General features: G+C 38.6%; 1 protein-coding gene across 2 annotated transcripts in view; it reads right to left on the bottom strand.

Annotated features, from left to right (window-relative positions):
• Positions 1-641: 641 nt before the first annotated feature.
• FDX1 (ferredoxin 1) overlaps positions 642-27,669 on the bottom strand; it is a 35,554-nt gene continuing 8,526 nt past the window's right edge. For both annotated transcript variants that reach the window (XM_047426566.1, NM_004109.5), the window contains exons 3-4: positions 8,479-8,608; positions 642-3,172 (exon numbers count right to left, since the gene is read on the bottom strand). In XM_047426566.1, the coding sequence (XP_047282522.1) occupies positions 3,058-3,172; positions 8,479-8,608 (245 nt within the window). In that variant the 3' untranslated portion in view covers positions 642-3,057. The remainder of the gene's footprint in view (positions 3,173-8,478; positions 8,609-27,669) is intronic.

Genomic DNA, 27,669 nt, shown 5'->3' with positions numbered 1-27,669 from the left:
TTAGAACACTGTTAGTTAAAAGGCCAATATTCACAGGAGATAAGGGGCCAATAAGTTAACAGTTACTCTGATATCTCCAAATACTTGGAAACCCCTCCCTTCTGATGATGGGCCAGACTTAGTGCTTCACTTCTAATGAAAAGAATAGTTGGGAGTGATACTGTGTCACTTCCACAACTAGCTCATAAAGAGGATCCAGTTCTGCCTGGCATGCATGCTCTTCTGAGGATGCCTGCCCTTGGAACCCAGGCGCCAGGTTGTGAGGAAGTCCAGGCCACACAGAGAAGCCACGTGTGGGTGTTCCAGCCAGTATCTTCTCCTAGACCCCCCAGCTGATGCCAACAGCAGACACCAGTCATATGAAGAATATGCCTGAAGATGATTCCAGAACCTGGCCTTTGAGTCATCTAGCTTAAGACCTAATACATTGTGGAGCAGAGACAAGCTATCCCTGCTCCGTACTCTAAATTCTTGACTCACAGGAACTGTCTGAAATAATACAAGATTCTTGTTTTAAGCTACTAAGTTTTGGGGTAATTTGTTTTGCAGCAATAGATAAACCAACACATTTACCTACAACACACATATATCAAATACAGAAGGATTTTTTCAAACTGAAAAATCACCTTTATACAAACCAATTATAGATTATATCCTCCATTTAATAATTTTAGAAGGTTTTATAAAATAACACAATTAAACTTCATTTGAACTTTTCTAATTTGAAATATAAGACAATTTATACTCTAAATTTTAGAGTGCTTTGGTTGAATATAATCATTAAAGTAGCTCTGGAAGGAGAGTTTAGGTAATCCACACACAAAGACAAGAATAATGAAGCTAATTAAGAGAATAAATTGGCTTTGAAGTACTTTAAAATTATAGCACTGCTATGGTTTGAATGTCCCCTCCAAAACTCATCTTGAAATTAAATTGCCAGTGTAATGGCATTGAAAGGTGGGTCCTTTAAGAGGTGATCTCCTTTAAGAGCAGAGACCTCATGAATGGATTAATGCCGTTATCTCAGGTGTGGGTTAGTTATGTCAGAAGTGGGCTCCTGATAAAAGGATAATCATTTTGCCCTCTTGCTCTCACTCGCATTCTCTTGCCCTTCCACCATGTAATGATGCAGCAAGAAAGCTGTCACCAGATGCCAAGCAGATGCTGGTACCATGCTCTTGGACCTCCCAGCCTCCAGAACCATGATCCAAATAAATCTCTTTTCTTTATAAATTACCCAGTCTGTGTTATTCTATTATAGCAACAGAAAATTAAGACAAGCACTCTCCACATAGAAAGCATTCAATAGTTATGGCCAAGCACGGTGGCTCACATCTGTAATCCCAGCATTTTGGGAGGCTGAGGTGGGTGGATCACTCGAGCTCAAAAGTTCAAGACCAGCCTGGGCAACGTGGTAAAACCCTGTCCCTAGAAAAAATACAAAAATTAGCCAGGCGTGGTGGTCCGTGCCTGTAGTACCAGCTACCTGGGAGGCTGAGGCACGAGAATCCCTTGAAACTGGGAGGCAGAAGTTGCAGTGAGCCGAGATCATACTATTGTACTCTGGCCTGAGTGACAGAGTAAGACCCTGTCCCCCGCTCCCCCCACCAAAAAAAAAAAAAAAAAACTACTCAATAGTTATTAAGCATCAAATGATACTTCAAGTTCTTCCTAATCACTTTTTACATATGAATTAGTTTAAAATCTTATTTAGCAGAACTAGTCAGTTTAGTTCAAGCAAATTATCTGCACATACATACATATTTTATATTTTCCTAATAAAAGGTGAATTCCCTGATGGCATTCCTTGTCTTGTTCACCTCTGTGTCCCCAATGGGCATAACACAATGCTGTATGTCAAGCATTGTACTAGACAAATATTTATATAAATGATCAAGCTGCAATAATACACATGAAGCTAACTCAATTGTCTTATAACCTCTTTCTACTAATTTGTTCTGCTCTTCCTCACAATTAGTCCAAGTTAGTTGATGTTTTATTATATTTCCAAAGACCATACTGTGTACCCCTTTGTTAACTTTTATGAATTTATTTATAGTAAAGATAAGAGTACGAATGTCTTCCACACATACGTGGTAATCTGTGGTGCTTGCCACTCCCTCACTCCTGGGACTGACACACTGCAGCCCACGCTGCTCACCCTGCAGCCCCATCCTTGCGTGAGAGAATGGCGCCACCTGGGGCTGTGCAACGTGTCAGCCTGCTCATTCCCTTCTCCAGCTCAGGACAGAGAAACACAATTCATTCATAAGGTTTCCATTCTGTTATAGGCAGAGATTTATAAATCAGCATTATTTTTCAAAGAGTACAAAGTTAAACCATTCTGCTTAGAAAAGAATAAACACATCCAATCATTTTTCCTCTAGTTTAGTCAAAACAGAGATCAAACTTCTTTGATAGCATTATAATGTCTACGTCCAGACTTAGTCTTCCGAATCAAAATTTTGAAATATTTATTTATAAGGTCAATAACTATCTTTGAAGTTAAGCAGTTTACTGAGCAATTAAATATTTTTGTCCATACACATTCAGATTTAACTACTACTATAAATAAAATAGTCATAATTTCTCCAGTTTCAGTCTGAACACATAGCTTATAGGAATAAGACACAGGTTCTAGCACAGATTTTCTAATTAGTGGTATGGCCCTAAACAAGCCAGGTTAGATCTCTGCCTTCACCCACATCAAACAGGAATAATAATATATTTCCTTAACCTATCTTCTAGGTAAACAGATGAGATTATATGAAAACATTTTGCTAAAGTCGCTAAACAAACATAAGAAAAAAATATGTAAGGTTTTTCTATCACATTAACTATTTTTTAATATTTGATTGACATTTTTGTAATATAACCAAAATAAAAATTGCATACTTTCAAGAATGACAAAATTCAGTAGTTATGCAAGGTGAATTAAAATAGTAAAGCTAGTCATAATATGAAGTCCACTCATCCATGTTCTCATTTAATCACTTTAAGAAATAATAATTATAAAAATAGGTAAAATTCCATGAAAATATTCCTATTTGTTCTAGTTCAGGAGGTCTTGCCCACATCAATGGATTGTCTGGCATCAGCCACTGTTTCAGGCACTCGAACAGTCATATTGTCCATAGATTTTGTCAAACAGATTTGGCAGCCCAACCGTGATCTGTATGGAAAAGGGGGAAGGTATGGTTTAGTATTACGTATATATATTCACAAGGCAATGCAGTTGTTTAAGATAGTCTTTATATTTTCTTACCCAAAGCAGTCAGGGAACTTATTAACCTTTTAAATTTCCTTTATGTCAAAACAGATATAACCAACCCTATCAACTAGAGAATAACAAAAGGTAAATATGAATACAATAAACTTGGTGTACCAAAGCTTCATTTTAGCCTTTGGTTCCTATTATCTATTAACTGTTTCACCAGACCACTACTTTTTGGTCAAAGAGCTGACAAGCAAGGAAACAATCAGAAGGCACAATGGTGGAGAACTGAGGTTATTAGCAAGGCCAAGAAAATGATTAATCAATTCCTAGATAATTAAAACCACACAGACTATAAAAGAAAGCTACACTTTTTAAAGCCTTTAAAAGAAGAAATCTGGAATAAATACATAGACTTAAGTCATCAATTATAAGAGCATATTTTTTCTCAAATTTTTACCATCTCTGGAAATCAAGAAGCATCTTAAAATCAATGGAATCTTACAATCACTGCTACACTGTCAGGTAATGGTCATGTCACAGCTACAGATTTGGTGACAATATTCATACAGGGGTCTCTTCAACTTAGTTATGCAAAGTATGTAAGTACACATGTCGAATTTACCTACTTTTCAAAATAGTCTAAAAAGATTACAAAATGAAAATGAAGAAGAATACAGAAAGAAAGCAGGGTGTAAATTTGGAATTAATAAATATTTGTCATTTTAAGAATGACTAATTTCCTTTTTTTTTTGCAGAATTACTACTAATTTTATTTTGTGTTTATTTTCCTTCTTTTTTTTTTTTTTTTTTTTAAGACAGGGTCTGGCTCTGTCACCCAGGCTGGAGTGCACTGGCATGATTTCAGCTCACTGTTAACCTCCACCTCCCAGGCCCTGGTGATCCTCCCACCTCAGCCTCCTAAGTAGCGGGGACTACAGGCATGCACCACCATGCTTGAATAATTTTTGTATTTTTTGTAGAGACAAGGTTTCACCATGTTGCTTAGGCTGGTCTCAACCTCCTGGGCTCAAGTGATCTATCCGCCTCAGCCTCCCAAAGTGTTGGGATAACAGGTATGAGCCACCGCACTCAGCCATTTTCTTTTCTTAGCAGTGATATATAATTCAAATCTATGTCTAGATAAGTCTAAATAACTCTTTCAATATTCAGAAAATATGTTAAGTGATAAGACTGTGCCATATTTGAATTAGCAGTGCTTTTATCTTCCTTAGTGGCATATAAAAAGAAATGTTAATCTTACAATTGACATGTCTTCAATTTGATGAAATCTGATATTCAGGTCTTGGTTTTATTAATGTACTCATGAAGCATTTATTGAGCACCTAAAGGCACAACACTAAATGTCAATGAGGAAGAGCAAATCAACTCCACACTTTCTTACTGAACACTTCTTATTTTCTGGGCATTGGGATGCACTAAAGAGACAGCATCAGAGTTACAGCCAAAGAGACCAGCAGTGCAGAATCCAGCACTTAATATACCATGTTCACAGGCAACTTGCTTAACCTCACCAAATGGTAGTTTCCTAACCTAATCTTCAAGATGAGCAGGAGAATTCCTCACAGGACTGCTGTGAGGATTGGTTGCTAATGCCAGCATTAATGAGTAAACTTTCAATCAAAGGGATGAGATGAGACACATTCAGATAGTTAACATGTGAGACTGTGGCAAATGCCACCGAGGGAGAAAGCCAAATGGCTCTGAGAGGTCTAAGAAGAAAGCCCTTACTTCTGGCCACAGAAGGTGTTGTCCACAATGGGCTTTGGAGGATAGGTAGGATTTACTATTTAGTACAAGATAAAGGAGAAAAGTATGTGAGGCAAAGGCAACACAATGCAAAGAAGCTCAAGTCACATTTAAAGCAAGATGGGTGTTTTAGCTTGGTTGCTGCACAGCGTAAACAAGGACAAGGGGAATGATGGGCCAGAAAAGCGGCCAGAGCCACAGGCAGCTGTGAATATCAGTTAAGGGGCCTGTGTTTCACTGGTGAGCAAGGAGGAACCACCAGGAAGTTTTGGAGTAAAGGAGTGTGCTTAACCATGAGAAATACTGATTACTAATAGAAAAAAAATCCCCTCTATCAAGAGTTCTTTATTTGTAGAATTGGAAACAGCCTTCACAATACTCAATTATGCATTAAGCTCTGTCTGCAAGAGAGAAAAAGTGGCAAGCCAATTTGGACAAATTCGTTAAGACAGCAGTGAGCTCTAGAGAGTCTGTTGGTTACTCTTGGTATTCATACACAGATAGCAAGATGATGCTGGTCTTCAAGGAACGGTTACTTTAGTAAGGGAAACAGAGATGGAAACAGTTATCAGTGAAACATGGCAGGGTACCACAAGTGTGGTGATAGAAGAACAATAAATCTGTTATGGGAACACAGAAAGAGACGGAACAAAAAGCTCCTGCTCAGTCTAGAGAATAAGGCAGTGGCGCTCTGTGGCTAGTTTCTCACTCTCCTACTTCTTCTACCTCCTTAAAGATCTCTGGCTCCAAGATCCACCAGTATAGATGGTGTCTCATACTTCTAGAGAAGGAGACAAACAACAAGGCTCCCCTGATTTCACACTTTGAGTCCCACAACATTTTGACACTTCTGCAAACCTGGAAGGTATTTTCTCCAGTTACTCTTGCCACATATCCCTGATGGTGAAAATATACTGGGTATTAGGTTTACTTTAGTTCTAGGGTTTGGTTTTCAACTCAGAGAAGCAGCTTGAAATAGTAAAAGACTAAAGGCTTTGGGGCCCAACACAGCTGGATTTAAATCAGGGGTGTTACCCACTAGCTGTGCAGCCTTAAGCAAATCCGTGATAACTAAACCTTGTTTCCCCACCTACAACATGGTGATAGTACTGCCTAACCCTGAAGGTTAGAAATAATACTTAAGTGCCTAGGCATTACAGTAAGTTCCCAATAGATAAGTCGATATGATGGTAGTTACAATGCTAACAACTACCATTTAATGAATGCTTTCTCCACCAAGCACTGTTCTGAGAGCTTCACATATATTTCCTCATTAACTCCACACAGCAATACTGTGAGGTAGGTACTATTATTATCCTCACCTTACATATAAGGAATCTGAGGCCTCTGTGTAGATTACCCATGCAAACTGGTGGCAGGGAGCAATTACAATCATCCAATGTAAACTCACAGGTAATTCCTGAATCTCCCTTTCCATCAACTATTAATTCCGCAAGCAGTTGGTGACCTCTACTGTGAATCTGGCATTAGAGATACAATGGTAAAATAAGACATGGCTGCTCCTTTAATGGGAAAAGGGAGATAGGTAACCAGTATGAAAAAAACAATGAGGCTGTCCATGTATCATCCATCCATCCATCAACAATCAAGGTTAAGGACAACCAATAAAACATTGAAGCCAGGCACGGTGGCTCACGCCTGTAATCCCAGCACTTTGGGAGGCCAAGGTGGGCAGATCATGAGGTCAGGAGTTCGAGACAGCCTGGCCAACATGGTGAAACCCCGTCTCTACTCAAAATACAAAAATTAGCGGGGCATGGTGGCAGGCACCTGTAATCCCAGCTACTCGGGAGGCTGAGGCAGGATAATTGCTTGAACCCGGGAGGCAGAGGTTGCAGTGAGCCAAGATCATGTCACTGCACTCCAGCAAGGGTGACAAAGCAAGACTCTGCCTCAAAAAAAAAAAGAAACGATGGTGTTTTTGCTTAAAAATTAAAAACATTTACATAGTATTTAAAGTAAGTATATGAACTAAAAGGCTGAATTTCCTTATTTCTTTTTCTGAAACTTTCTGATACCCTAAAAATAAGTTTACATGTGGTTACTAGCTTTGAGCAAAATTCTTTCCATTCCAAATATGTCAATGTGTTTTGTAAATGCTACCTGTGAAACCCATTATACTCTTTCCCACAAAGTATTTCTACTAAAATGCTGTGTACTTAAGAATACCAGCTATAAAACACCATAAAAGCTATTCCTTGCTCTCTATTGTGTAGCTGTAAAACTTGGAAATTTTATCATCAATACTCTTGCTAGCTTACATTTATTATAGACCTTTTGTATCTAACTGTAGCTCTCCCTTTTCCCTTTCTTTTCAATTAGAATATTATCTATTACAGGCATCTACAAATTGTAACTGTATAAAAGAGCAAGCAGTTAGCTATGATTTAACTCTCTTATTAAGAGACACAATTCTCAGAACCAAACTAATACAGTCATTGGATTTAGTTTCTGTGTTAAGGGGAAGAAAGGAGGTGCTCATAGAGAACACGGCACTGAAGATGTGAGAGGACAGGCAGACAGTAGCCACAATCCACTCTGCTTTGGTGTCCAAAGAGATACTATTTCACCAGTTTCTCTTCCCAGGGTTATCAGTCTCACATCCACCAAGAGGGAAATGAACTATAAAAGGAACAAAATGATTCTTCTTCTCTAAATAAATACAAATGACCTGAAAATGTTTGTGAGGATTAAATGAGGTAGTTTATATTAAAAGTGTATAACAAAATTGTAGCTATATAATACACATGAAATAAAACTATTATTACTATCTTTAATTTTTAAAAAATTATTTGTCATTAAGGTCACCAAACTAGAGTTAAACAAAGCCAACCTTAATTAAGTAATATGCCCTCATTATCTTACCCCTTGAAATAGTATATCAGCTAGCTACCTTCATTGACTCCAATCAAAAGACTAGATAATTTTTTTAAAAAATAAGATATCACTTGATGTCACTTGCTACTGTAAATCTCACCACTTTTAAGAGTAACTATTAATTAATAACAAGAATAAGCTCTGATTACTTTAAGGTACACTTAGAAAAAGAGCTATTCATTTTAACATAATTACTATTATATATTAAGTTTCTTTAAAAATTCTGTTCTAATAGGTGAAACTTTCCATTATAATTGTGTTCAATTATCAAATATAAAAGCATTAGATTTAACCCCTCCATTCAGTTGTGATACATATTAGTTCCTGGAGTAAAAAGAGACTAAAGAAGAGGTGTTAGGATCTAGAACTTATACTTCCAATTAATTTTTTTTACTTTTGTAAAATTTCATAAGGTCTAAACTGTAGAACAGTGAAAACAAAGAGAAATGCCACATATCTGATACTCAAAATCTGTGACTGTTATTTAACCTGGTAGAACACTATTACATTTATGGGTCTGGTCTTACATAGACAACATAATACAACATCTATGTTCCCAGATTATTATTACAATTGAAGCAGTCCAAAAATCTTACCTGTCTGTTAGTCCATATGCCAGATCGAGCATGTCATTCTCCTCATCAGTGATTGCATCTAACTTCTCATATATGTGATCTTCAAAGATGAGGTGACAGGTTGAACAAGCCAGGGTTCCCTCACATGCACCTGACAAAAGCAACAAACACTGAACATAGTCCCTTCTACATCAGACGATTCATACCTGGTTCAGTAAAGGCTTCTAAATGTTAGAATCAGCATTAGAATACATAAGTGAGGCCGGGCACAGTGGCTCACACCTGTAATCCCAGCACTTTAGGAGGCCAAAGCAGGCAGATCACTTGAGGTCAGAGTTCGTGACCAGCATGGCCAATATAGTGAAATCCCGTCTTTACTAAAATTAAGACAAAAATTAGCCAGGCATGGTGGCACACACTTGTAGTCCCAGCTACTAGGGAAGCTGAGGCAGAAGAAATACTTGAACCCGGGAGGCGGAGGTTACAGTGAGCTGAGGTTACACTCTAGCCGGGGTGACAGAGTAAGACTCTGTCTCAAAAAAAAAAAAAAAAAAAAAAAGAATACATAAATGAAAGGTGAAAATGAACAGAACAGGGGCAACAAGCCTCCATCTCCTGCCACATGCACACGCATGCACACACACGCATGAGTTTGAAATCCCTCACGTTATATTATTTCACAAAGGTTCTGGCTTGGTGCTGTGAAGGAATACCTATGAAAATATAGTCCTAATAGAGAGCTTACAAGTTAATAAGCTGAGACATGCATACATATAAAAATTTGTGCAATTTTAAACTTACATAGTAATTACTGACATAATAGCGATGAAAGTTATGGTATATAAGAGGAACTAGAAAGCAATCAAACCTATAGCTAAATTAAGTTAAATGTTCTTCCCTCTCAATCTCTCCTTGTAATTTGGACAGAATCAAGTCATTTTAAAATAAGTCACTATGGTCTTAAATAATCAGAATATTTATCCTGTTCCATTTTTTAAGTCATTAATTTAACAGTGGTTTACTGAATACATATCGTACGCCAGACACTGTGATGAGAGAACTAAAACACCACCTTGTCCAACTAAACCAGGACGAATCTGCTCTGTAACATCCCTTTCCTGGTATTACTCAGCCTTCACTTGAAAATCTCCTGACAAAGAAACCGACACCACATAAGTCAGCCAATTTTGCATTCGGCTGGCTTCTACCAAGCTAAAGTCTGCCACTCTGTAACTAGCACCTACTGGTCCAACGCTATCCCATGGAGTTTAATCCTTCTAAAGGATAGCTTTTCATTTATTTGAGATCATTCTTCCTTCTCCCAGCTGAGCATCCCCAGGTCCTTCCACTAGGTCCTTCCACTGTTTCTTACATAACACAGTTCTAAATCCCATCCCTCAGGCCAGTTGGGCTTTTCTTAAAATATGGCATCCAGAACACATTAGTATCCCAGGGGAGGACCTGACAACAGAGGCGTGCAGAATCACAGTCTGCTTAAATCTGACTTTAAAAACAGTGATTCGGGTTTGTTTTTACAGTTTTTTTAAAGCCACTGTACAATTTCAAAGAATATAGAGTCCTCAGAGTAACTTCAGTTTGATTTATATTCTCTTTTGGTCACTAAATATTATATGAAATATACACAACCACTGTTAACAACTAGTAACCTTCTTAATTTTCCTCTGAATGGATCATTTTAACTAGAGTTGTTCCTTCCTTATAATTTAAGCATTTATTATTTATATTTTACCGTAAGGAAAAAAAAAACAGGCCGGGCACGGTGGCTCACACCTGTAATCCCAGCACTTCGGGAGGCCGAGGCAGATGGATCACGTGAGGTTCGAGACCAGCCTGGCTAACGTAGTGAAACCCTGTCTCTACTAAAAATACAAAAACTAGCTGGGTGTAGTGGTGCACACCTGTAATCCCAGCTACTCGGGAGGCTGAGGCAGAAGAATCACTTGAACCTGGGAAGCAGAGGATGCAGTGAGCCGAGATTGCCCCACTGCACTCCAGCCTGGGCGACAGAGTGAGACTCCATCTCAAAACAAAACAAAACAAAAACAAAAAAACACCATCGTGAAGTTTCTCTAAATCTTCATTTTTATTAAATCCAATTCAAAGCAACAGTAGAATTATGGGAGAGGGAGACCATATAGTGAAGTTCAGAGTTAGGGGCATGGGCTGTTAGCCAGACTTCCTCCCTTCAACCACAGCTTTCCTTTTTACTAACCCTGTCACCTTGGGCTACTTTACCTTCCATGTCTCAGTTTCCTCAAGAGTAACTATACTAACCTCACATAGTAGTTCCAAGAATTACACATGACTGTATACTTAATATATATGAATATATATACTGGCAACCATGACTGGCAGATAGTATGTACTATGTAAGTGTTGGTAAACATTATTATTATTATCCAAAGTTACAGAAACTCTTAGAGTAATTCAACTTTATTTGTAAACATAAGAGGAATTAAGAATTAAGCCCCAGAAGTTAAAGAAATGGACTAAGGTCATACCACTAGTTAGAGATGAGTTATGACTTTGACTTAAGTTTCCCAATGCTGTAGGCAACTAATAATTATTGTACCGCCATACAATAATGTAAGTTGCCTTACTTATACATTAAATGGAGATAAAAGGCTCATATGCCAACAAATCCCTCCTGAAAAACAAAGGACATTGCTTTTTGTACCAGTAGCCAGTCGAAAGGAAGAGTTACCAACCTGTTCTAGCTGTTCATAGGCTTCAAATTCTCCCCCTCTTCCCTAGGAAGCTTCAGTTCTTTTAACCTTCTCTTAAAGGTATTATTCTATTCTCTTATTTAAATTTTCATGGCTCTTCTCAGGAACCTTGGCAATTATTTCCACATCTTGCTTAAGTTGCTAAGCTCAGCGCTGAAGAGACTATTCTAATAAGAATTTGAAAAATGCTGAATATTTTCAGATTAACTTTTGGTGCCTACACACTAAGTTCCCATTATACATTCTAGTCCCGTATTTATTCTTTAAATGAACACATCACATTCATGATCCCTCACTATTTTATGGTCCTTTTCGAACCTTTTCTGCCAAAAAAACTTGCCAACAATTTATCCTTTGTTATTCTTTGTACTAGGAAGAAGTTCAAATATAATAGAAACTATAAGACTCAGAATGAAACCAGCCTATGTGAGAGAGCTAACACTAAACCAGAGAAAGCTAACGGTCAGACTGTGTTAGAACAACTATCACTACAGAAACGATCTGTACCAAGGGTTTCCAAGACCCTATGGATAGCACTTATGAACTATTCTGTCCTTGCCATGGTCAGGGCTCAAAGAAAAATTTAAAAAATAGAAAAGTAAAAAGAAACTTTCAATCTTTCAAAAATCCATAAGAAGACAGATGAGTAGTTTTCTAGAGTTTGTTTTGAGATTTAACCTATACGGTTTATTAAAAATTAAAGAATTTTAGAGAATATTGGAGACACCTAACCAAAAAGGGTATTTAGGAGGAAAAAAAAAAACCTGCAAAAATAAGGTAAATATTTGGGTATAAAAAAGAGCCTAAAACTGTAAGAAGAACAAGAGGCTATTTAAGAAAAAAAAAAAAAGTTACTCCTTTTCTGTTTTCTTTATCTCATAAAATATTGCCAATTTCATGAGAGCTATGTCCTCCAATTACTAGTTGTCTCTTTCAGTGTTCAGTTCTATGAGGCTTTTTGTTTTGTTGTGTTTGTTTGTTTTTTCAGACAGTCTTACTCTTGTTGCCTGGACTGGAGTGTAATGGTGCGATCTCGGCTCACGGCAACCTCCGCCTCCCGGGTTCAAGTGATTCTCCTGCCTCAGCCTCCTGGAGTAGCTGAGATTACAGGCATGAGCCACCATGCCTGGCTAATTTTTGTATTTTTAGCAGAGACGGGGTTTCACCATGTTGTCCAGGCTGGTCTCAAACTCCTGACCTCAGGTGATCTGCCTGCCTCAGCCTCCCAAAGTGCTGAGGTTACAGGCGTGAGCCACCGCACCTGGCCAGTTCTATGAGTTTTAATGTATGTATAGACTTGTGTAACCACCACCACACTGAGGGTACAGAGCAGCTTCCTCAGCCTAAAACTTTTAATTCCCTTTTGCTGTTGCTTTGTTGTCACAGTCTACCTCATCCCTAACCCCTGGTAACCACTGATCTGTTCTCTATCACTGTGGTTTAGTCTTTTCCAGAATGTTCATATAAATAGAATCATACAGTGTTTGACTGAAACTGGCTTCTTTCACTCAACACAATGCCTTTGAGATTCATCCAATGTGTTGCATGTATCTATAGTTTGCTCCCTTTCATTGCTAAGAAGCATTCCACTGTTTGAATGTCCCATGGTTTGTTTCTAGTAGGTATCTGGTGGTGTCACATTGTGACTTTCATTCACATTTTCTCCAAGAAATTAAAGGTGTAAAATATCTTTTTTTTTTTTTAACTTTGCCTCATTTTTTTCCCAAAGCCACTTGGGAGTATGACATCACCATTAGTCTCTTGTGCCTCTAGGAGAAACTCTAAACAACACAAACTCATTCACACATACAAGTTCAGGTCCAGATGCCCCTCAATCTTTTTATGAGCTTATTTGCCATCTCTAAATTCTCCTTGGTGAAGTGTCTGTTCATATCTTTTGCCCATTTTTTTAATTGTGTTGTTTTCTTACTGTTAAGTTTGGAGAGCTTTTTACATAGCCGGGATACAAGTCCTTTCACTGGATATGTGATTTACAAGTATTTTCTCCCAGTCTGTAGTTTGGCTTTTCAGTCCCTTAACAGTGTCTTTGGAAGAACAAAAGTTTTTAATTTTGATGAACTCTAATTTATTTTTCTTATATATAAGAATTTATATATAAATTCTTTTCCAGTCATGTCTAAGAATTCTCTGCCTACCTACCCACAGGTCCTAAAGATTTTTTCTTGTTCTTTCTTTTAGGAGTTTACAGTTCTAAGTTCTACATTTAGATCTAAGTCAATTTTGCATTCATGTTTTTATAAGATGTGAGGTTTAGGTTGATGCACCTTTTTTTTCCCACATGAATATCCAATTGATTCAACATCATTTGTTGAAAAGAATACCCTTTCTTCACTAATTGCTTTGCACCTTTGTCAAAAACCAATTGGCCATTGCCAAGAGGTGGAAACAACCCAAATATCTCTCAAGTGATAAAGAGATAAAGAAAATGTGGTATACGTAAGTGAGAACATGTGGTATTTGGTTTTCTGTTCCTGCATTAGTTTGCTGAGGATAATGGCTTCCAGCTCCATCCATGTCCCTGCAAAGGACATGATCTTGTTCCTTCTACGGCTGCACAGTATTCCATGGTGTATATGTACATTTTCTTTATCCAGCCTATCATTGATTGGCATTTGGGTTGATTCTATGTCTTTGCTATTGTGAATAGTGCTACAATGAACATATACATGCACGTATTTTTATAACAGAATGATTTATATTCCTTTGGGTATATACCCAGTAATGAGATTGCTGGGTCAAATTGTATTTCCAGTTCTAAATCTTGGAGGAATCACCACACTGTCTTCCACAATGGTTGAACTAATTTTCATTCCCACCAACAGTGTAAAAGTGTTCATATTTCTCTGTAACCTCACCACATCTGTTGTTTCTTGACTTTTTAATAATCACCATTCTGACTGGCATGAGACCCTGTCTCTTTAAAAAAGTAGAAGAAAAGCAGCAGCAGCTACAATTACAAGAGTTAGAAGGTGCAATGCATTTTATCCCAAAAAACAAGCTATAAATGGTGATTAAGTCAGTTGTGAAGAAATAGGTTCTGTGTGTTGGCTCAAAAATTTAGCCAACATTATTTTTTATGGGAAAACAAATTCCAAATAACAAGCAGCTGACCTGAAAATAGATTATGGAAACAAAAGCTATTCACAAAATGGGGAGCTTTTTTTTTTTTGGCTTTTCATATACACAGAGAACCCTACAAAATAAACAGTGGAAGATAACCTATAAAACTATAAAAGAATAAAGGATATAAAAGTAACAAACAACAACTACAAGGCTAAAACTTGCAGCTGATCACAATATGGGTATACTAATATATGATGTATATGAAGGAATGAGGTGCAAAAGTTATATAACTTATTATATACACAGCCCCAGAGTAATATTGGTGGCTGTCAGCTTTTAGTGTCTTTATAAGTGGTTGGCTATATAAAAGTAAATGAACAGGGAAAATGTGTATGTCTATGTGTATACATGTATGTACATGTATATATATACATGGATATACACATATATGTAAACACAAAGTGATGTTTTATGAGAAATGCATTCTCAAAGATTTTGGAAATTGTACAAGTCTCATATTTCAAGAATTATTTTCTCAAAGAAACAAAATAGAAAAGTGGATTCCTAAAGTTTAAAAATCTAAAATCCTCAAACATTTTTGTTTTAAAATATACTTAAGTAGAACAAATGTTTGATGTAAAATTCTTTTCATTACTATGTCCACCTTTCAAATAACCAAAAATACATCATGTCTTACAGCAGTCCCGAGCCACAGGCCACACAGCAGGTGAGCAGAGGGCAAGTGAGGGAAGCTTCATCTGTATTTACAACTGCTCCCCATTGCTCACATTACCGTCTGAGCTCCACCTCTGTCAGATCAGCAGCTGCATTAGATTCTCATAGGATGAGAACCCTACTGTGAACTGTGCATGTGGGGGATCTAGGGTGCACCCTCCTTATGAGAATCTAATGCCTGATGATCTGTTACTGTCTCCCATCACCTCCAGATGGGACCTAGATCTAGTTGCAGGAAAACAAACTCAGGGCTTCCCACTGATTCTACCTTATGATGAGTTGTATAATTATTTCATTATATGATACAGTGTAATAATAATAGAAATAAAGTGCACAATAAATGTAATGCACTTGAATCATCCCAAATCCATCCCCACCCCAACCTTGCCCATGGAAAATTTGTCTTCCACAAAACCAGTCCCTAGTGCCAAAAAGGTTGGGGGCCACTGCCTTAGAAAATACAACGGTAGTTACCAGCAGATGGGAGTGGGGGTAAGGAAATGAAATGAGCATGTGCTGTTCAAAGGCTACAAAGTTTCAGTTAGGAGGAATTTGTGTTTAAGATCTCTAGCACAGGCCGAGCACAGTGGCTCATGCCTGTAATCCCAGTACTTTGGGAGGCCGAGGCAGGCAAACTGTTTGAGGTCAGGTATTCGAGACCAGCCTGGCCAACATGGTGAAACCCCATCTTTACTAAAAATACAAAAATTAGCTGGGTGTGGTGGTGCTCACCTATAATCCCAGCTATTAGGAAGGCTGAGACACAAGAATCACTTCAACCCAGGAGGTGGAGGCTGCAGTGAGCCAACATCATGCCACTGCACTCCAGCCTGAGTGACAGAGTAAGACTCTGTCTCAAAATATTATAAAAAATTAATTTTAAAAAATCTATAGCAACAGCATGGTGACTGCAGTTAATAATAATGTATTGTGTATTTCAAAAGTTACTAACAGTAAATTTCAGATGTCTCATCACAAAAAATAAGTGAGGTGAAGGATATGTTTATTAGCTTAAGTTAATCATTCCACATTGTATACATGTATCAAAACATCACACTGTACCTACCCCATAAATACAATTATGATCTGTCAATTAAAATTAATAATAATAACATACTTCATGCCTTAGCACAGATAATAACCTGATTTAGGAACACCTTACAGCAACACTGATATTAGCCCCTGGTGCTAGCATTTTAGCCACCATCCTGGCTTGGTTATACAACAATTTTCATGAACTTAAAAGTATATACATTTTAGTACTGCTTTGATTTTGTTTACATACTGGCTAACAATTCAGAGTGCTTTCTCCTAAATTAACAGTAGTATGTATCATGACAGGTTTTTGGCTTTCTTCCTAACATTTTGTTATATCTAACCTCTATTCCAAAATAACTCATTTTCAGATACATTTTTCAGTATTAGCACTTAATGCTTGGCTGAAACTGATACAGGCTTTAAAAATGATTTTAAATTATAACCACAGTTTAAAATATCATCACCATAGTCAAGAAAATCATACAGATATTCAGATGTCTATAAACAGCATGGTTCACATGGTGCTGACAAAGGATGGCAGGGATTTGTTTATTAGCTAAAATGGTCCATCTTTAGCTGCAGTAACAAATGTAAAATTTACAACTCACACAGCCTGCCAGCTTAAAATTACAGGATTCCTGACAACAGTTTTGGTTTCTGCAATGCTTCTGATTTTGCTAGAGTAAGAATCTCAATACTGTTAATCTGCACAATTTCAAATATATGCATATAAAATGACATGAAGAATAGTAAAGCATGCTTACTAATTTCAAGGTTGGTGAACTCATGAACCAAGTTTTGTTTTTTTAAAACAGGAATAATGATAGTAAGTACTTGGGCAAATCCTCAGAAGTTGTAGCTGTGAAATTAATTCCTAGAGAAAGTCAGATCTCTGCAGACTGCTCTGCTCCTTTCCTTTCATGTAACTTGAGTGTTTGCCAACGGGAAAAGACATTTTGTGTGTGTGCATCTCATATTAAGATCATTTTGTATTATCTACTACGATGCTGACAATACAATTGCCTGCCCCGACACCTAACCCCTTTCCCAAACAAAAATCTAGAGGATGGCTGTGTGGGAATATTATATATTAGAAATGGAAATTATGTGTAAATATAAAATCTAATTTTCTAGATTAAAGATTGATCTAGCATAGTCAGAAATACATTATATCAATAGGGACTCAAGCATGAGGGGAATACAAATAAACTTATACAAACACAATCAGGATCTTCCAATTTGTATAATTTCCCTCAAAACAGACACATGAAGAAAACAGGTAATATTGAAGAAAAAAATGTCTTGAGAGTAAACTAGGTAAGTTGAATCTCAGGTGTGTAACTGCCCCCTAGTGACAGAATATTATGATACACTCTGAAAACAGGTACCTGCATCATCCAAAAGATCTATATTAATATAAAAGTTGGCAATGAGAATGTTTATAAGTTTGAACTGTTTCCAAAATTTATGACTGTCCCTTTTTATTCATGTGTTCACTTATTACTTCATTTCGTATACAATGAGGAATTAAACAGGAATGACTTTATCCCTCATCGCAGTCTATTGGGAAAGATACACAAGAAATACATAATTACTAAACTGTGACAAATACTATAAAACAAGTGAACAAGATGCTGAGAAAGAGAATAATGGGTTCAGGGTAACAAGAGAACCACTACTTTGGACTGGGTGGCTGGGCAAAGCCTCGCTAAGGAAGTACATAAATTGAGATTTGATAGATGAAAAGCTAAATTTTGGGGATGGGAGAGAGAGGGATGTGTCTCAGGGAGAGGGTAAAGTATATACAAAGTCTCAAAGGTAGGAATTTTGGGTGAGTTCAAGCTCTTGAGAAAAGGCCAGTATCACCAAAGTGAGACAAAGAACAATGAGAAAAAAACAAAAAAGAGGAAGAGTGGCAGATGGGGCCAGATAATGCAGAGCCTTTTACGGCTGGGAATACAGATTTTATCCTATGTGCAAAGGAAGACACTCATGGTTTTTTGTTTGTTTGTTTGAAGGAGTCTCACTTTGCTGCCAGACTGGAGTACAGTGGTGCAATCTCGGCTCACTGCAACCTCCGACTCCCTGGTTCGAGGAATTCTCCTGCCTCAGCCTCCCAAGTAGCTGGGATTACAGGCATGCACCACCATGCCCAGCTGGGTTTTTTTTTTTTTTTTTTTTTTTTTTTTTTGTATTTTTAGTAGAGACGGGGTTTCATTATGTTGGCCAGGATGGTCTCAATCTCTTGACCTCGTGATCCGCCCATCTCGGTTTTTTTTTTTTTTTTCCAAGATGGAGTCTTAGTCTGTAACCCAGGCTGGAGTGCAATGGTGCAATCTCAGCTCACTGCAACCTCTGACTCCTGGGTTAAAGCAATTCTCCTGCCTTGGCCTCCCCAAGTAGCTGAAATTACAGGTGCACGCCACCACACCTGGCTAATTTTTGTATTTTTAGTAGAGACGGGTTTTCACCATGTTGCCCAGGCTGGTCTCAAACTCGTGACCTTGTGATCTGCCCACCTAGGCCTCCCAAAGTGCAGGGATTACAGGCGTCAGCCACTGTGCCTGGCCCACTCATGGCTTTTAATCAGGGGACTGACATGTCTGATTTCTGTTAGGACAAATTACCTGGCTGTTAAACTCCAGAGCAGAAGCAGGTTAGCACAGCTCCAGGCGCCCAGTGGCTGGCCAGCCCCTCGTGCCGACTGTAGGGATGGAGCCAACAGGACATGCTGGAGGCGAATCTTGGGGGCACAACTGGCAGGAGGTGCCGATGGACTGGATGTCAGGTTGGGAAGAAAGAGGAAGGAATGGTGCTCTACGGTTTCAGGTTCGAGCAGCCGGGTGGTGCTCATTACTGAGGTAGGAAAGACTCGAGGAAGGACAGGTTTCATCAGGAGGAAAAAAGGCAAAAGCTGTTTTAAATATGTTAGATTTCCAAGAAGTGATGTAAAGCAAGAAGTTAGATCTGTAAATCAGGGCTCAGAGGAGAGGTCTGAGCTAAGGATGTAAATTTAAGAGTTTATCAATATCTAGAAAGGATTTAAGGTCACAGAACGGATGAGATCACCCAGGGAGAAACTGTAAAGAAACTAAGTACTTCGGTCAGCCATGTTTGGAGTACGGTGTTCATCTGTATGACTTATGACAAATGCAGTGTTTAGATGGGCTCCTGCATTCAGCCTTAGGAATTAATGAAACAGCTGCCCCCATAATGTTGTGGTAATAAGCTCTTCTTTATAATGATAACATTGCACCCTTCCTGATTTCATTTCTCTCATCTTTATTCTAGAAAGAAGCTTAGGCTTAACTCTGTCTTTGGTGAATCTAGTTTAGCTTACTTATCTCAAGCTTATCTTTAAATACAAAGATTTGTGGACATGTCAGGATACTTGATCTTTAAAGCTTTTCTTCTGAGTCTGAATACGCGAATTTCTATGATACCAGCAGAATTTTTAAATTTACATTAAATTTTCTATATTTCTTGGGTATTCGGAAAAAAGATTATTTCAGTGCTTATCTCTGTGTGATGATATGAAGTGTTAAATTCTTTTTAAATGTATTTTTAAAATTTGCTATAATGAACAATGAATCTGTATTAATACCTATGTTAACAATATTAGCTAATATTTATTTAGGACTTGCTTGGATTTACTCATTTGATCTTTACAGCAACTTTATGAGGTAGATATTAATATTATCCCTGCTTTACAGATGAAAAGATGAGTTATGAGTAGGTTAGATACCCAACCCAAGGTCACAAAGCTGAAAAAGGGATACAGCTGGGAAAGAAGCCCAGGCAGGACATTCTTCCATTCCAACCAATGACTTTCAGAAAAAACTTTATTTAACTGTGACTCACAGTACGAATTTCATTTTACATCATGACCCAGTACATATATACTTGTAAAATAGCTAAATAAACATTTCCTAAGATAATACCCTTGCAAAAGATGATATGTTTTTATATGTTCTTTTTGATTTCTTTAAAATGCTAGTTGGGAGTGACTAAATTGATTTCATGACCTTGTAATAGTTGTCACCTGCGGTTTAAAAAAAACTGTACTGTAATATATAGTCACAAGTGATGAAGAAAAAAATACTTTTAAAAACTTAAAAGAATACTTTCAAGTATTAAGATCATAATACTTATGTTTTAATTTAGAAGAAATTAATATAAAGCAATCCACACAAATTATTTATGCAAAAAGCATTTTACACTATTTTGAGAATATGTAACTTCATGTAAAATAGCAGTTGGAAGCCATTTAAATAAATGTTTAAAATTTTCATCTTCACAATTTTTATCAAATAGGACATTTAAAGAGCTTTTGCTAACCTATAAAAATAAACAATACCTCATCAGAAAAATAAGCAAATAATACTGCCCAAAGCAATTTACAGATTCAACACTATTCCTATCAAACTACCAACATCATTTTTCACAGAATTATAAAAAAACTATTCTAAAATTCATATAGAATTGATGCAGGGTAGACAGGCCCCAAAATTGGGGCTTAGCCCAGGAAGGTTCTTAGCTTTGCCCAGGAAACGATTCAGGGCGGGTCGGTCGTGTTAAATAGCAACTTTCATTGAAGCAGCAGCATACAGCAGCAGCAGAAGTAGGACTCCTTGTGGAGCACAGCTATCCCATAGGCAGTGTGCCCAGAGTGAGGCAGCTCAGAGGTTGTTCTGCAAATATATATATATATATATACGTGTATATATATATATATATATACGTATATATATATATATACGTATATATATATATATACGTGTATATATATATATATATACGTATATATATATATACACACACACACACACACATATATTTTCTTTTTTTTTTGAGACAGTCTTGCTCAGTCACCCAGGGTGGAGTACAGAGGCACAATCTCAGCTCACTGCAACCTCCGCCTCCCAGATTCAAGTGATTCTGGTGCCTCAGCCTCCCAAGTAGCTGGGACTACAGGTGTATGCCACCACACCTGGCTAATTTTTGTATTTTTAGTAGAGATGGGGCTTCACCATGTTGGCCAGGCTAGTCTCAAACTCCTGACCTCAAGTGATCTGCCTGCCTTGGCCTCCCAAAGTGCCAGGATTACAGGCATGAGCCAACGCGCCCGGACAGCACTTACTCTTTTTAAGAGACTCCGTATTCAATAATGGTGCTGGGATGCCTGGCTAGCCATAGGCAGAAGTCTGAACTTGGACTCCCTACCTTTCACCATACACAAAAATTAACCCAAAATGGATCAAAGATTTAAATTTAAGACCTCAAACTATAAAAAAGACAATCAAGGAAATACTCTTCTAGACATTGGATTGGCAAAGGATTTTTGGCTAAGTCTCCAAAAGCAATTGCAACAAAAGCAAAAATTGGTAAGTGGGATCTAATTAAACAAAGAGCTTCTAGACAGCAAAAAAAACTATCAACAAAGTAAACAGACAACCTACAGAGTGGGAGAAAATATTCACCAACTATGCATCTAACAAAGGTCTAATATCCAGAATCTATAGGGAACTTAAATCAATAAGCAAAAAACAACCTCATTAAAAAAATAGGCAAAGGACATGAACAGACACTTCTCAAAAAAAGCCATACAAGCAGCCAACAAACATGAAAAAAATGCTCCACATCACTAATCATCAGAGAAATGCAAATCAAAACCACAATGAGATACCATCTCACACCAATCAGAAAGGGCATTAGCTGTTGGCCAAGGCGTAGTGGCTCACACCTGTAATTCTAGCACTTTGGGAGGCCAAGGCAGGCGGATCACTTGAGGTCAGGAGTTCGAAACCAGCCTGCCCAACATGGTGAAACCCCGTCTCTGCTAAAAATATTTTAAAAATTAGGTGGGCGTGGTGGTAGACACCTGTAATCCCAGCTACTCAGGAGGCTAAGGCAGGAGAATCACTTGAACCAGGGAGGCAGAGGTTGCAATGAGCCGAGATCGTGCCATTGCATTCCAGCCTGGGCAAAAAGAGCAAAACTACGTCTCAAAAAAAAAAAAAAAAAAAGGATATTATTAAGTCCAAAAACCACAGACGGCATGTTAAATGATGTGGTGGGGAGGGAAGATAATCTAAATCCCATCATCTTTTTTTATACCAAAGATGCTAGTGCTGAAAGCTTTACATAATTTAAAACTTGAGACATTTTCCTACAGAAAAAAAAAAGGTAGCGGGGCAGGGCAGGGGTAAAGATGAATTTTCAGCACCCATAAACATCAGCCATTGCAGACTGAGGTACACTGCCACAGTTTTGTGTCTTCAACTATGTAACCAATTGTATTAGTCCATTTTCATGCTGCTGATAAAGACATACCTGAAACTGGGTAATTTATACAGGAAAAAGGGTTTAATGAACTTACAGTTCCACAATGGCTGGGGAAGCCTCACAATCCTGGCAGAAGGCAACGAGGAACAAGTCACATCTTACATGGATGGCGTCAGGCAGAGAGCTTGTGCAGGGAACCCCCCTCCCCTTATAAAACTGTCAGATATTGTGAGTCTTATTCACTGTCAGGAGAACAGCATGGGAAAGACCTGCCCCCAAGATTCAATTACCTACCACTGGGTCCCTCCCACAACCCGTGGGAATTCAAGATGAGGTCTGGATAGGAGGGGACATGGCTAGACCATATCATTCTGCCCCTGGTCCCTCCCAAATCTCATGTCCTCACATTTCAAAACCAATCATGCCTTTCCAACAGTCTTAACTCTTTTCAGCATTAATTCAAAAGTCCACAGTCCAAAGTCTCATCCAAGATAAGGCAAGTCCCTTCTGCCTATGAGCCTGTAAAATCAAAAGCAAGTTAGTTACTTCCTAGATACAATGGGGGTACAGGCATTGGGTAAATATAGCTATTCCAAATGGGAGAAATCGGTCAAAACAAAGGGGCTACAGACCCCATGCAAGTCCAAAATCCAGCAGGGCAGTCAAATCTTAAAGCTCCAAAATGATCTCCTTTGACTACATGTCTCACATCCAGGTCACACTGATGCAAGAGCTGGGTTCCCATGGTCTTGGGCAGCTCCACCCCTGTGGCTTTGCAGGATACAGCCTCCCTCCTGGCTGCTTTCATGGGCTGGCATTGAGTGTCTGTGGCTTTTCCAGGCATATCATGCAAGCTGTCAGTGGATCTACCATTCTGAGGTTTGGAGGGCAGTGGCCCTCTTCGCACAGCTCCACTAGGCGGTGCCCCAATAGGGACTCTGTGTGGGGGCTCCAACCCCACATTTCCCTTCTGCACTGCCCTAGCAGAAGTTCTCCATGAGAGCCCTGCCCTGCAAAAAACTACTGCCTGGAACATCTAGGCATTTCCATACATCCTCTGAAATCTAGGCGGAGGTTCCCAAGCCCCAGTTCTTGACTTCTGTACACTAGCAGGCTCAATACCACATGGAAGCTGCCAAGGCTTGAGGTTTGCACACTCTGAAGCCACGGCCCTAGCTCTACATTGGCCCCTTTCAGCCACAGCTGGGACAGCTGGGACACAGAGCACCAAGTCCCTAGGCTGTACACAGCAAGGGGGCCCTGGGCCCAGCCCACAAAACCACTTTTTCCTCCTAGGCTTCCAGGCCTGTGATGGGAGGGGCTGCCATGAAGATCTCTGACATGCCCTGGAGACATTTTCCCCAGTATCTCAGGGATTAACTTTCAGCTCCTCATTCCTTACCCAAATTTCTGCAGCCAGCTTGAATTTTTCCCCAGAAAATGGGGTTTTCTTTTCTATCACATTGTCAGGCTGCAAATTTTCCAAACTTTTTTATGCTGTTTCCTTTTAAAACTGAATGCCTTTAACAGCACCCAAGTCACCTCTTGAATGATTTGCTGCTTAGAAATTTCTTCTGCCAGATACCCTAAGTATCATCTCTTAAGTTCAAAGTTCCACAAATCTCTAGGGCAGGGGCAAAATGCGCTAGTCTCTTTGCTAAAACATAGCAAGAGTCACCTTTACTCCAATTCCCAACAAGTTCCTCGTCTCCATCTGAGACCACCTCAGCCTGAATTTCATTGTCCATATCGTTATCAGCATTTTGGCCAAAGCCATTCCACAAGTCTCTAGGGAGTTCCAAACTTTCCCATATTTTCCTATCTTCTCCTGAGCCCTCCAAACTGTTCCAATGTCTGCCTGTTACCTGGTTCCAAAGTTGCTTCCACATTTGGGGTATCTTTTCAGCAGCACCCTACTCCTCGTACCAATTTGCTTTATTAGTCCATTTTCACACTGCTGACAAAGACATATCCGAAACTGGGTAATTTATACAGGAAAAAGTGTTTAATGGACTTACAGTTCCATGTGGCTGAGGAAGCCTCACAATACTGGCAGAAGGCAAGAAGAAGCAAGTCATATCTTACATGGATGGCAGCAGGCATGCAGAGAGCTTGTGCAGGGAAACTCCCTCTTATAAAATTGTCAGATCTTGTGAGATTTATTCACTGTCACAAGAACAGCATAAGAAAGACCTGCCCCCAGGATTCAATTACCTCCCACTGGGTCCCTCCTATAACAGGTGGGAATTCAAGATGAGATTTGGGTGTGGACACAGCCAGACCACCAGTATTGTTTTCCATTACCCTTCACCAAGTGATTTTTTTGTGAGCTTAAAAATATTCCTACCGTAATGTCTTTTTAAAATCCTATTTTCTAAGTACTTTTGTCTTTACAGTATCTACACCTAAATTAACAGCACCAAACGTCAGGCTGATTGTTTAGCCTTTTTTTGTGTTAGATCATGTTTAGCATCCATTCCAATGTTATTGATTTGGGACATATTTCAGTACCACACCATCACTAAATGAAAGTTTAGTTAACACTGTTATGAGATATTAAGATTTAAATTTTTTCAACAGCACAACAGCCACAACTTCCAATGCACACAAACAATAGCATGGTTTACCCATTCTGTCAAAGATCAGAAAATATTTCTACCAGCTAAAGTGGCTCCACCATATGGCAGAAATCAAAAAATTCTTTGAAATAAATAAAAGCAGAGACACAGATACCAAAATCTCTGGGATGCAGCAAAAGTAGTGCTAAGATGAAGTTTAGAGCACTGACCGCCTATATTGAGGAGTTAGAAAGATCTCAAATTAACAATCTAAAATTAACCTAGAAGAACTTGAAAAACAAAAAACCCAAAGCTAGCAGAAGAAATAACAAACTCAAAGCAGAACTGAACAAAATCGAGACCCAAAAATCTATACAAAGGATCAACAAAACCAAAAGTTGCTTTTCTGAAAGAATAAACAAAATGGATAGACCACTAGCTAGATTAACAAAGAAAAAAAAAGAGATGATCCAAATAAGAATAATTAGAAATGACAAAGATGGCATTACAACCAATCCCATAAAGATACAAAGATCCTAGAGACTATTATCAGCACCCCTATGCACACAACCTAGAAAACCTAGACACACAGACCAAAGGAACAGAATAGAGACCCGAAAAATAAAGCCATACATCTAGAAAATCTGATCTTTCACAAAGTCAACAAAAATAAGCAATGAGGAAAGAACTCCCTATTCAGTAAACAGTGCTGGGATTGATGGCTATTATATGCAGAAAAATGAAACTAGACCCCTACCTATCACTGTATACAAAATTTAACTCAAAATAGATTAAAGACTTAAATGTAAGATCTAAAGCTACAAAAGTCCTAGAAGAAAACCTCAGAAATGCTCTCCTGGAAATTGGCCTCGGCAAAGAATTTTTATGACTAAGTCCTCAAAATCAATTGCAACAAAAACAAAAATTGACAAATGGGACCTGATTAAAGAGCTTCGACACATTAAAGAAACTATCAACAAAGTAAACACCCTAGAAAATGAGAAAAAATATTCACAATCTATGCATCCAACAAAGGTCTAATATCCAGAATCTATAGGGAACTTAAACAGATCAACAAGCAAAAAACAAATAACCTCATTAAAAAGTGGGCAGAGGGCCGGGTGTGGTGGCTCACACCTGTAATCCCAGCACTTTGGGAGGCCAAATCGGGCAGATCATGAGGTCAGGAGTTCGAGACTAGCCTGGCCAACATGGGAAACCCCATCTCTACTAAAAATACAAAAAAATTAGCCGGGCATGGTAGCATGCACCTGTAATCCCAGGTACTCGGGAAGCTGAGGTAGGAGAATTGCTTTAACCCAGGAGGTGAAGGGTGCAGTGAGCTAAGACAGTAGCACTGCACTCCAACCTGGACAACAGAGTGAGACTCCGTCTCGGGGTTGGGGGGAAGTGGGCAGAGCAGGCATGGTGGCTGACACCTGTAATCCCAGTACTTGGGAGGCCAAGGTGGGCAGATCATTTGAGATCAGGAGTTCCAGACCAGCCTGGCCAACATGGTGAAACCCTATCTCTACTAAAAATACAAAAATTAGCTGGGCGTGGTAGTGAGTGCCTGTAATCCCAGCTACTCAAGAGGCTGAGGCAGGAGAATCACTTGAACCCAGGAGGTGGAGGTGAATCAGCAAGCCGAGATCACATCATTGCACTCTAGCCTGGGCGACAGAACAAGACTCCGTCTCAAAAAACAAACAAAAAAACAAAGTAAACACCCTACAGAATGAGAGAAAATATTCACAAACTATGAATCCAACAAAGGTCTAATATCCAGAATCAATAGGGAACTTAAACAGATCAACAAGCAAAAAACAAATAACTTCATTAAAAAGCGGGCAGAAGTCAGGCATGGTGGCTCACGCCTGTAATCCCAGCACTTTGGGAGGCCGAAGTAGGCAGATCACTTGAGGTCAGGAATTCAAGACCAGCCTGGTCAATGCGGCAAAACTAAAAATATAAAATTTGAAAATAATCATAAAATTATAAAAATATAAAACTACTAAAAATATAAAAATTTGCTAGCCGTGGTGGCACACCTTTATAATTCCAGCTACTCAGGAGACTGAGGCAGGAGAATCGCTTGAACTTGGGAGGCGAAGGTTGCAGTGAGCCCAGACTGCGCCACTGCACTCCAGCCTGGGTGACAGTGAGACTTTGTGTCAAAAATAAATAAATAAATATTTAAAAAAGAAGACATACAAGTGGTCAACAAACATGAAACATGAAAAAATACTCCACTCTGCAAATCAAAACCACAATGAGATACCATCTTGCACCAGTCATAAAGAATATCATTAAAAAGTCAAAAAATTACAGATGTTGGCAAGGCTGCGGAGAAAAGGAAACACTTAAGACAGTCCTGGTGGGAATGTAAATTAGTTAAGCTGCTGTGGAAAGCAGTTTGGAGATTTCTCAAAGAACTAAAAATGGAACTACCATTCAACCAAGCAATCCCAGTACTGGGTACATACCCAAGAGAAAACAAATAATTCTACCAAAAGACACATGCTCTCGTATGTTTACCTCAGCACTATTCATAATAGCAAACATATGGAATCAGTCTGGGTGCCTGTCAATGGTGGATTGGATAAAGAAAATGTAATACACATATACCACGGAATATGCAGCCATAAAAAGAATAAAACTATGTCCTTTCCAGCAACATGGATACAGCTCAAGGCCATTATCCCGAGTAAATTAACACAGAACCAGAAAAGCAAAGTGTTCTCACTTATAAGTGCAAGCTAAAT

Source organism: Homo sapiens, chromosome 11 (assembly GCF_000001405.40).
Source record: "Homo sapiens chromosome 11, GRCh38.p14 Primary Assembly".
In the NCBI taxonomy this organism is placed as follows: Eukaryota; Metazoa; Chordata; class Mammalia; order Primates; family Hominidae; genus Homo; species Homo sapiens.
The sequence above is the reverse complement of the archived record's forward strand: the minus strand, read 5'-3'. Positions and strand labels throughout refer to the sequence as shown.